Source organism: Homo sapiens, chromosome 8, assembly GCF_000001405.40.
Source record: "Homo sapiens chromosome 8, GRCh38.p14 Primary Assembly".
Classification (NCBI taxonomy): domain Eukaryota; kingdom Metazoa; phylum Chordata; class Mammalia; order Primates; family Hominidae; genus Homo; species Homo sapiens.
In genome coordinates this window covers 10,750,571-10,762,732 of record NC_000008.11, presented here as the reverse complement: position 1 = coordinate 10,762,732, position 12,162 = coordinate 10,750,571, and the positions used below count along the sequence as shown (strand labels likewise).

The following is a 12,162-nucleotide window of genomic DNA, read 5'->3' as shown; positions in this document are numbered from 1 at the left end:
CCATGTTGCCTAGGCTGGTCTCAAACTCCTGAGCTCAAAGTGATCTGCCCACCTCAGGCTCCCAAAGTCCTGGGATTACAGGTGTGAGCCACTGCTCCTGGCCCCTCCTGAATTATTTTAATAATTGAGTGGGCAGCCGGAGAAGGAGTCACATGCTCAGCAAAGAGCAGATTTGTTCCAAAGGAGGTGGAGACTCTCTTTTCTCTAGGTACCCTCAGCTTTCATTTTTCTGTGTCTGTTTTTCAGTCCACTTGGTTTTCTGGATCTAAGTGGAAATTAGAACAACAAAACAAATACTCTGCATTTTATGCTTGATACTTTAAGAATGAGTAGCATATGATCCCTGTTTTTGCCTTGAATTATTTCACCGGGTAAAAATACTTTAATTTTAGTATTATTCAGTGCTTTCCTTGGTTCTTTCAGTTTAAGGAGGAAAATTAGGCTCCCAAGAAAATATTTGTCCACTGAAGAGACTCTTCTGTGTTGTCCTGCAGCAACCTTCTCTCCTTTTCTGTTAATTTTAATGGATGATTATTATTATTGTATGAAGTCTTGGATGCCTGGCCTTATTCCAAATACTTCAAATAAGCCAACTCATTTAGTCCTCAAACAACCCAGGAGGTAACCATTATCATCATTCCCCTTTTACGGAAGGGCCTCGCAGCCTTTTATTTTATTTATTTATTATTATTATTATGTTTTTTTTTTTTTTTGAGACGGAGTCTCGCCCTGTCACCCAGGCTGGAGTGAAGTGGTGCGATCTTGGCTCACTGCAACCTCCACCTCCCAGGTTCAAGTGATTCTCCTGCCTCAGCCTCCCAAGTATCTGGGACTACAGACGTGCACCACCACGCCCAGCTAATTTTTGTATTTTTAATAGAGACAGGGTTTCGCCACGTTGGCCAAGCTGGTCTCAAACTCCTGACCTCAGATGACCTGCCCGCCTCGGCCTCCCAAAGTGCTGGGATTACAGGCGTGAGCCACTGCGCCCGTCTCTCAGCCTTTTTATAACTAGACTGATGCTCTTCCCAGAGGCCCCGCGATGCCCCAGCCCGCTGTCTACTGTAGTCACAAACCCGCGCCCCTTTTCCTCCATCCTTGCCACAGCCAGTTCCACCTGCAAGCCTCCCTATTGCAGATGCTCTTCACATGTCATTGTTACTCTTAACTGGGAATGGATTTGAAAGCAGCAGGCAAACTGCAGAGTTTCACAATTAATTTGAGTTAGTTATGATTCGGATGAGCTATAGAAAATACTTTTGAGTTATGCTGCACATTAGACATTCTCAGTGGATTTTCTTTTCCAACTTGGTCAAGAGGTGGGTGGGAAATTGGGTGAGTTGGTTTCTTAAACCCTGTTTGCAAGTCTGAAAAAGAATGTTTTCAACTTGTAGAAAATACTGATGCTTTTGAGAGATGAAATCCCAGTGAGCATCTCTTTCCTAGCGGAGGTCATCCCTCTGCCTCCCTCCTCCTCCACCTGTTCACTGACTGGCAGGCACACGCTGAGACCTGTTTATTAAGAAACAGTATCAGAGAAGGCTTTCGGCACAGTCTGTCCGAGTGATCTCAGCCCTTGGATCAGCAGGCAGCAGCTGTACGTTGATTGGAGTAAGAACCTCTTCGTCACCGCCCTGTTTATCTCGCTGGTTCTGCAGCTGCTGCGTTTCGGAGCCTGTTGTGCTGGAGGGCAGGGCAGGAGGTCAGGTCGGGTGCTCGGTGTGTGATTTTATAGTGCTTGGTTATTAATGAGCAAATTAGTACCGTGTCCTAGTAAAGTCGATGACTAAACTCCTTGCATAAAAGTGTCCGATCTATTTAGGAAATACTGAATATACTGCAGTGACATACACAAAGCCTTCATGGAACCAGTAAAAGGGAGGAATAAGCCAGACAAAGATGGCAGGTAAAGAAGGGTGGGTGGGGCCGGGCCTCTCCTGCTGTGGACGAGTGGGTCGGGGGCTGGTGCAGGGTGCGTGAGGCGCACTTCCTCCCACCTCAGCTGCCTGTTGTGCAGGCATTAGCAGTGAACTTTTAAGGAAAGCAGCAGTGAAGTCTTTAGCTAGGGGGGAGAATTTTGTAATCAGTTATAGCTGAAATTTTCTGTTTGTATGTTCTGTGTTGAGTTTCCTTAGAAAAAGGTGCGTGGGTGCTGAAAGCAGTTATTTGTTCTGAAAACATTTATTGAACACCGACTCTGGGCTCCAGGCCAGTTGACAGCAGAGTGACTGACGCATTACAGAGCCTACCCACTTTCAAGTTCTACAAATGTGTGTCATTTAGAAGGTACTGCCGTGTCCTGGATTAATCTCAGTACATTTATGCCCGGGACGCAGCCTCCTCCACCGTGGCTAGCAAGCGTCCTCTCCTCTTTGGCATTCATGGATGAGCTGTGAGAAGCTCTTTGCCAGCTCATTTGACTTGAACCTGAGGAGGAACTGTGTACACTTAACAACATTTCTAACTCTGTGATAAATTCGCCAAATTATAGTATGTGCCTTCCTCCACATAGAATGCATTAGAAATGTGTTTTGCCTACGTGGAATGGCTCTTAACAGGTCAGTCTGAAGATAAAGCCCAGCTTCCTCCCGCCTCTCCTGTCTCTAGAGGATCTGCTGAGTGTGCAGATGGGGTGCATAGAGATGGGAGAGGAGAGGTGGCCTCCAGGTGGCCTCCAGGTAGCCTCCACCCACTAACTGGGGACGCCCCTCGAACCTGGATGGAACAAAAACAGGTATCAACACACATTTGTTACATGGAAAACTGCTGAAGGCAAACTCCGACTCCGGCCTTCAAACCTTAGAGAATCAAGGTCTTGAGCAATCTAGAGTGACCCCAGCACCTTGACGGAAGGAAGCACCCTCATCTTCACCTTTGTGAGGTACGTCGCTGCCCCGGTGAGTAACTGCATCTCAGACCGTTTAGTCTCCTTCTCCAACTATGTCGACTCCATGCAACTCCTAAGCCTCCGCCTTTTCTGAATACTCCTTGGCTCTTGCTCCTTCTGCGGTCAGCTAAGTGTGGGAAGATGGGACACCCTTGAGTGTTTCTGAGCCGTGGGTTCTGTCCTCTCACTATCCATTTTCTGTATACATCTGCATGGCCGGCGTTTCTGCTGCTTTCTGTGTGATTCTCAGGTCAGCATCTCTGTCCCCACTAGTCTCAAGCTTTAGTCCTGCGTCTCCAGCCGACCGTCCAGAGGGCCTATCACATTCAGTGGGTCTAAGAGGAACCCATCCTCTCCAGGTTGCCTCCTGCCCCCCGTTATTATTATGGGCACCCCACGCTCTCGTTCAGTCTCACCCCAACATCAAGAGGCGTTATCAGCAGTCCAACCTAATCAAGTGTCTGCCACCACTGTACACTAGGTAGGTCCTCACCTTCAGGAAGCTCCCAGCTCGACACCCCACTGTCTGACTCCTATCTGGACAGTGCTGCCCTGCACCTCCCATCGTTCCCTCGGTAATGCCGCTCCCCCGGACCTGCACTCCCGGCTCTGCCTCCTGCCTGCAGTCCCGCCCCTAGTGCATATCTGTGGCTCCGACCAGGCTTCCCTTCTCCACCCACTGGCTTCAAGACCCGCCACAGGTGTCATCCACTTCTCCAGCCTGTCCTGATCCGGCCCCCAGAAGCAATCTCTCCATTTTCTGAATTTTCGTAGCATTCTCTGTGCTCATCAAAGTCTACTTGTGTTTTGGGGTATGTCACTTTCCCCATTCAACCCTAGGACCTCTGAAGGGAACCTTCATGTTTGTATTCCTATAGCACCAGGACAGTGCCAGGCACAAGGAAGGTACAGCTTGCTCGCTCGCTCGCTCTCTCTCTCTCTCTCTATCTCTATCCCCCTCTTTCTCTCTCTCCTCTTTTTAAAGTGGAGACAGGGTCTTGCTTTGTCACCCAGGATGGAGTACAGTGGCACAATGAAAGCTCACTGCAGCCTTGACCTCCTGGGCTGAAGTGATCCTCCTGCCTCAGACTCCTGAGTAGCTAGGACTGCAGGTCCATATCACCATGCTCAGCTAACAGGATTCTTAAATGAATACAAATGAGCAGACCACACCCAGGCAAGAACCCGTGTTCTGAAGGCCTCAGGTATATCCCAGGACGAAGGTGTCTGAACAGGGATGCTCTCCTGTGGCTATACCCCACCCCCTGCACTTGTGGTTCCCTTGACTCCCTGCACTGCATTCAGTAGATGAGACCTCATCACCCACCTAGCTTGAAAGCTTGATTCTGAATTCGTCTGCATGTCTCCCTAGGTCTTCCTTGTAACTGTCCCCTGGCCACTGGGATCTCAGCGGACTCATTCCCAGGGCCTTGTTTTCAAGTCTTCCTTGACCAAAGGGTGGTTGTAGGATTAAATGAACTGTGGCTCAGCAAAATACCTGACAGCAGGCGTGCAATGCATTTTTCTTCTCTCCCTCCACACGTACAAGAGGAGAAAATGAAAAGGAAGTGCTGCGGAGGATTTTTAGGGCAAGGAAATTATGATCCTAGAATGCTGGACACATGGCGTCGTATATCTGTCCAAACCCATAGAATGTGCATGTGAACCGTAACATAACTGTGGCTGTGGGGATGATAATGTGGCGATGTAGCTTGATCCATTGTCACAAATGTACCACTCTGGTGGGGGGTGTTGGTAGTGGAGGAGGCTGTGCCTGAGTGTAGGAGAGGTGGTACATGGGCATTCTCTGTACCTTTTAATTTTGCTGTGAACCTAAAGTGGTTCTAAGAAAATAAAGTCAATGCTGGACACGTTGGCTCATATCTGTAATCCCAGCTGTATTCATTTTCATGCTGCTGATGAACACATATCCGAGACTGGGAAATTTACTAGAGAAATTTAATTGGACTTAGAGTTCCATGTGGTTGGGGAAGCCTCACAATCATGGTGGAAGACAAGGAGGAGCAAGTCCTGTCTGACATGGATGGCAGCAGGCAAAAAGAGAGCTTGTGCAGGGGAACTCCCCTTTTTAAAACCATCAGATCTTGTGAGATCCATTCGCCATCACAAGAACAGCACAAGAAAGACCCGACCCCATGATTCAATCACCTCCCACCTGGCCCCCCCCCGCCCCAACACGTGGGAATTGTGAGAGTTACAAGATGAAATTTGAGTGGGGACACAGAACCAAACTATATCATCAGCACTTTGGGAGACCAAGGCAGGAGGATAGCTTGAGGCCAGGAGTTCAAGAGTGGCCTGGGCAATAAAGTGTGACCTCCAACCTGGGCAATGTGGTGAGACCCCATCTGTTACAAAAAATAAAAATTAGCTAGGCGTGGTGGCACACACCTGTGGTCTCAGCTACTTGGGAGGCTGAGGTGGGAGGATCACTTGAGCCCAGGAGGTCGAGACTGCAGTGAGCCATGTTTGTGCCATTGCACTCCAGCCTGGGTGACAGAGCAAGACCCTGCTTCAGAAAAAAGAAAGTCTTTTTCAAAAATGCCAAGTGCTCCTCACGTGATACTAGGGAACCCAGTCCTGGTCAGGAGGGTAGCTTCCATCCTCTCTCCGATGAGGGACTGGCACCAGCAGGCCCCGTCCTCTGAAGAGCCATCCCTAAGGCTCCTGAGCCACTTTTTACCTGCTCCTGTGACTGTCACCCAGGACCAACAGGCTCCAGGATGTGCCACAGGAAGGTGTGTCCAGGTCATCCTGGAGACAGCAGAGTCCCAGGGAGGTTCAGGGCTTGCCACTGGAAGTGGTAACCTGTGCAGGCCCTGGGGCAGGACTGAGGTGTGGGCACAGTGACTCAGACTGCTCAGGTGACAGGCTTCAGGTCCTGCCCTTGCCCAGGACTCCTAGGCAGCCCCAATAGAGCAAGTTAATTGCAATTTAGCCTGGAGGGATTGCAAAATCCTGCTGCGATGGGCAAGGCCCTTGCAATCTGCGATGAACAATTGATGTTAACTGAACTGGAAGAGGGACAATCGGAGTGTATTCGGGAGACATGAGCCAGTAGGTCTTCCAAATCAGGGGACCCTTCCCAGCATTCATCCCTGAAACAAGCAGTCCTGCTCAGCACAGCCCCGTAAGAGCCGCATTCTTACGCTCCTCATTTTGTAGGTGGAGAGACAGACTCAGAGTCAGTAAGTACCTTGGCCAGGCTCACCAGTTCATAAAGGGGTGGCAGAAGGGTGTAACCTCCATCACCCCAGGCTGTCCCCCGCCCCAGGACTAACCCCTTTTCATCCTAAAGATGTGATGGGGACTATGTTTGATTTTTGTTTTTAATAATTGAATTTCTTCTTCGTGTTATTTAGTCCATTTTGGCATGTAGTGTACCTTTGTGCCAACTGCAGTGTAATTCATGAGTTAGAGGAGAGATATAGAAAATGCTGCGGGAAAACACCATCAGATGTGTTCATTCAGCCATTCGTTCCACAAGCTTCAGTGGTGAAGGCTCTGTGCTAGGGGCTGGGAATACAGGTGTGAAAAGACATGGTCCCAGTCCTCAAGAGCTCACCATTTAGCTAACTGTGTCACTAAAGTTGGAAAAACAAAGCCATGTGCCTCCTTTGGATAGTCACAATTTTATGTATCCAAATTCAAAAGGACGCTCTCAGCCTTAAGAGGGTTTTCAAGCCAAGGAATGCTCATTTGGTGTCCAAGGGCAGTGAAACCTCTGTGCGTGGATGCACGGGTGTGAAAGCTCGGAGTTTAGAAGAAGCTTGTGCCCGAGTACATTTTTATCCTCACAGTGAAGTTCAGGAATGATGACTTTGAACCCCTTTGCTGGGGTTTGACTTTTGTGTTTTGTCTTTTGAGTTTTGCTTCATGGACCTTGGATTTTAGAACTGAAAGGAAGCTTAGAAATTTCACCAGAGAGGTGCAAAACAAGGCAATGATTTGATGCAGAACAACCGCAGACAGAAGAAAAGGGGTGGGTGGCATCTTGTGACCTCTCCCTGGGCTGGGGTCTTCTTCTGGCTCGTTGCTGAGGGGTGCCAGGCAGCAAAGACCACTTGGCTGCAACTCTACTGACTGTGACACTATGTGAGTCTTGAGTTTCGGGAACCCCAGTCCCTGCATTTTTCATTCCTAGTGTTTGACCAGGATGGTGGGAAGAGGTTATGGTAACCAAAGAGGCTACCTGATATGTATGTCTCGTTATCATTACTAATCCTTTATTGCGCTAGATGTTTTAGAAGTATTTTCTAGACCCGGTGCAGTGGCTCACACCTGTAATCCCAGCACTTTGGGAGGCTGAGGCGGGCGGATCACGAGGTCAAGAGATGAAGACCATCCTGGCCAACATGGTGAAACCCCATCTCTACTAAAAATACAAAAATTAGCTGGGCATGGTGGTGCGTGCCTGTAATCCCACCTACTCAGGAGGCTAAGGCAGGAGAATTATGTGAACCGAGGAGGCAGAGGTTGCGGTGAGCTGAGATCACACCACTGCACTCCAGCCTGGTGACAGAGCAACCCTCCATCTTAAAAAAAAAAAAAAAAAGAGAAATATTTTCTAATTTGTTTTCAGAGCAATGTATAGGTAATTATGATTACTCTGATTCTGGGTATGAAAAAAAATGGGACTCTGGTTGATTGACATTTTCTCAAGGTTACACAGCTGGCAAACAGCCAGGTCAGGACTGGAGCCCACACCTGCGTGACTCTAAAGTGCCCACTCTTCTGTGCTGCAAGAGCCTCCCAACTATTCCTTAGGGTCATTATGTGAACATGTTGTGGGGGAAAGCACAACGTATTCATCATTCAGGGCTTAGTTCAGCAGCCACCCGCTTCCCTGACACCCTGGTCTGGGCTGGATGTCCCTCTTCTGCACTCCTGGAGTGCTGGGTGCATGCTTATCCCAGGAGCAGCTTTCCCCGCTCTGTATCCCAACACCTGCTACTGTCTGTCCCCTAATTCATGTGTAAGAAACATTTTTAACAAATAAATTTGACAAATAAATGATGAAATGAATAAGTGAGTAAATGAAATTATTTCCTCTTATTTCTCTATTTTTAGGCACGTGGGGCCTTTCAGGGTGGTAAGTGGGCACCTGCAGGCCATAGGAATCTGTCTACTGCTCAAGATTGCATTTATAAAATCAGACTTATTAAAGTATAATTTACAAACAATAAAATGCACCACTATTAAGTGTGCGATTTGATCACTTTTGAGAAGCATATGCAGGTGTGTAATGACCACAACTACCGCGATATGGAACATTTCCATCCACCAGTAGGTTTCCTCAAGCCCCTTTACAGTCAGTCCTCTCTCCCACATGCCCTTGCCCCTTGCAACCACTGATCTGCTCTTTACCATTATAACTTTATTGTTTCTAGAATCTCATATACATAGAATCACTCCCACTTAGCATAATGCTCTTGAGATTCAGCAATGTCCACGGTTTTTATTGCTAGCTAGCTTCCATTATGTGGATAGATAACAGTTTATTTACCAGTTGATGAACTTTCGGATTTTTTTGCAGTTTTGGACTCTTGTGCATAAAACTTCTACGAACATTGAAATACAAGTCCTTCTTTGGGCATACACTTTCATTTCCCCTGGAAAATGCCTATGAGTGAACAGGTTGGGTCATATGATAAACGTTTGTTTAATTTAGAAACTGTCAAACAGTTTTCTAAAAGGTACCACTTTCCATCCCTGCAAGAAGTTCGTGAAAGTTCTGTGTGCTCTGCAACCTCCCCAGCACTCGATATTCTCAATCTTTGAAGTTTTAGTCATTCTAAAGCATAGCGGTATCTCATTTTGCTTTTGGTTTGTATTTTCTTCTGGATAGCTAATGATGCTGAACAGTTTTTAAATACGCTTATTGGCTCTTCTTGTATCTTCTTTTGTCAAGTGTCCAAATCTTCTGCCCACATTTCATTGCATTTTTCTCTTATTATTGAGTTTTAAGATGATTGTTCTATAAAGAAACCTCTAGAATCTACCTAAATCACCTCCTTGAACTAATAATGGATTTAGCGTGCTTACAAGATACAAGAACAACACACAATTTTTTATACTTTAGTGAACTGTTGAAAATAAAAACTAAAAGCACAATATTTGCCTGGCAAGGTAGCTCACTCCTGTAATCCCAGCACTTTGGGAGGCCAAAGGAGAAGGATCAATTTGAGGCCATGAGTTTGAGACCAGCCTGAGCAACATAGTGACACGCCGTCTCTACAGAAAAGTTTTAAAAATAGCCAGGCAAAGTGGCATGCACCTGTACTCCTAGCTGCTCAGGAAGCTGAGGTGGGAGCATCACTTGTGTCCAGAAATTTGGGGTTACAGTGAGCTGATTGCACCACTGCACTCCAACGTAGACAACAGAAAGAGACCCTGTCTCAAAAGAAAAAAAAAGCACAATACCGTGTACAGTCACTTTTTAAAAGATTAAAATACTGAGGACATCAACAAAATGGGAGACCAGGAAGCTCCAGGCCCTTATTCTCCCATAAAATGTCAAATAAACAACTACAGACTGACTAAAATCACTTTATAGGAGCTCTAGAAACCAACCAAAGATCTGTAGCAACCAAGCGAATGCCAATCAGGAAAAAGCCACACTCAGAACGGTAGGAAATTCAGTGTTGTTTTTACTTGCCCATGCCTCACCCATGCAGTGAAGGCCAGAGGAACAGGACCAATTTTTGACTCTGTCCCTTGGGCCAGAAAGAGCAGGGTGGAAATTGTTTGTATAATTCTCGCCTATCTGTGGGATGTCCAAGAAACCAGCATCTGTCTCTCCTGCCTCAGATGGAAGGGTAGCATAGTTTGGAGCTTAGGCTGGAAGCATCAGAAGGAAGTGGGGTGTACCATGATGTGTGAAAACTGTAGGGGGACTGTAGATCTGAAGACAACTGTGAGCAAGAGATGATGGGCAGAGGAATACAATAGGCCATCTAAGGCTCTGAGAAGAAGCTGAGGTGGGACGCTTTGGAAAATTAAGACATTTGAAAGCAGCCAGAAGAAATGGGGAAATACACACACATAGGCCCAGGTAGGATGCATGCCCAGAAGACCTGAGCAGCCCTTAAGCCTTTACCCTGGGCTGATCTCTAGGTTCAGGGGCTTGAGAGTAAATAACTCTAGTCTTCAACAAGTGGAAGAGGTGTGCTTCAAACGTCCATCTGATTACAAGGCATACAGAGACACAGGCAAACATGGCCTATTCAAAGGAACAAAATAAACCTCCAGAAATAGTCACTGAGGAAACACACAGAGTACTTACTAGAAAAAGGCTTTAAATGACCATCTTAAAAGTGCTGAAAGAGTTAAAGCATGGGCAAAAAACTAAAGGAAATCAGGAAAACTATATATATAGCCATATATAGTTATATATATAGTAATATATATATAGTGGTGAAAATAAAAATTAAAAAGCACAATACTTGCCAGGCAAGGTAGTATATATATATATATATATAGAGAGAGAGAGAGAGATATATATATATAGAGAGAGAGAGAGAGAGAATATATATATATATATATATACATACACACACACACTATATATATAGAGAATATATACATACTATATATAGAGAGAATATATATATATACTATATATATAAACAAAATTAGAATATAAACAGGGAGATAGAAATTATATATTTAAAAAAGAATTAAATTCAGGAGCTGAAAAATACTTAAGGGAATTCAAAAATTCACCAAAGAGGCTTAACTGTAGCCTAGAACAGAGGGGAAAGAAAGCAGACATTGAGTTTGAACACCAGTTATTTGAAATTATCAAGTCTGAAAACAAAAAGGAAAGAAAAAAGATGATAAAAAATAAAAAAATGAGCCTAAGGGACTTAAGGGACCTGAAGAAGTAGACCAATATACACATTATAGGAATTCAAAATGGAGAAGAGAGAAGGGGATAGATTATTTGAAGAAATAATGGCTGAAAACTTCCCAATTTTAAGGTAATACATGGAGATAAAAATCCAAGAAGCTCAAAGATTTTCAAGTAGGATAAACCCAAAGAGACCCACACCAGGATACATTATAATCAAACTGTTAAAAGTCAACAAATTTTGAAAGCAGCAAGAGAGCAATAACTTATAATGTACAAGGGATCCTCAATAAGACTACCTGTGGATTTCTTAGTGAAAAAAACCTTACAAGCCAAAAGGCAGTGGGATTATATATTTTAAGTTATGAAGTGGTGGGGGGAACTTATCAACTAAGAATTTAATCTCTCGCAAAACTATCCTTCAAAAATGCAGGTGAAATTAAAACATTTCTTGATAAACAAAAGCTGAGGGAGTTTATTACCACTAGACCTACCCTACAATAAACACTAAAGGGAGTCCTACAAGTTGAAATATAAGGATGCTAGACAGTAACTTGAAGCCATATGAAGTATAAAGTATAAGGGTAATACATGGAAAAATATAAAAAAGTTTAAATTATTTTAATTTTGGTTTTTAATTCTTTTTATTTTTTACAGGATTTGTAAGGCAACTTTATTAAAATAAATACAAATCTATAATAATGGATTTAGACTGGCCACAGTGGCTCACACCTGTAATCCCAGCACTTTGGAAGGGTGAGGCAGGTGGATCACCTGAGGTCAGGAGTTTGAGATCAGCCTGTCCAATGTGGTGAAACCCCATCTCTACTAAAAATACAGAAATTAGCTGAGCATGGTGGTGTGCACCTGTAATCCCAGCTACTCAGGAAGCTGAGACAAGAGAATTGCTTGAACCCAGAAGTTGCAAGTTGCAGTAGGCTAAGATCGTGCCACTGCACTCCAGCCTGGGTGACAGAGTGAGACTCCATCTCAAAAAAAAAAAAAAAAAAAAGGATATGTAGTATATACAAATGTAAGTTGTGACACCAGTAACACAAAGCGGGGAGTGGAGGGAGGATCTATAAAGGAGTAGAGTTTTTTTAATGTTACCGAAGTCAAGTTGGTATCAATTTAAGGTGCCATAACTCTAAATGTTATATTTAATGTCCACAATAACCACAAAGAAAATATCTAAGCTAGGTGCAGTAGTTCATTCCTGTAATTCCAACACTTAGGGAGGCTGAGGCAGGAGGATTGCTTGAGCCCAGAGTTCAAGATCAGTCTGTAGAAAAAAAAAATTATCCATGCATAGTGGTACATGCCTGTAGTCCCAGCTACTTGGGAGGCTGAGGTGGGAGGATTGCTTGAGCCCAGGAGGTTGAGGCTGCAGTGAGACATGACT

The 12,162-nt window shown here is 44.9% G+C and overlaps 1 long non-coding RNA gene across 1 annotated transcript in view, besides 1 other annotated feature; it reads right to left on the bottom strand.

The window, feature by feature from the left end:
• Nucleotides 1–12,162, bottom strand: part of SOX7-AS1 (SOX7 antisense RNA 1) — a 43,620-nt gene that overhangs the window by 10,178 nt on the left and 21,280 nt on the right. The gene's annotated exons all lie outside the window — the stretch shown is intronic.
• Nucleotides 3,390–3,523: a silencer, noted in NCBI's record as "fragment chr8:10616720-10616853 (GRCh37/hg19 assembly coordinates)". NCBI's record gives its function as "represses an EF-1alpha promoter that drives an FKBP-Casp9 reporter gene in an ReSE screen in phorbol 12-myristate 13-acetate-treated (for megakaryocytic differentiation) K562 erythroleukemia cells {active_cell/tissue: K562(+PMA)}" and the evidence as "EXISTENCE:reporter gene assay evidence [ECO:0000049][PMID:32094911]".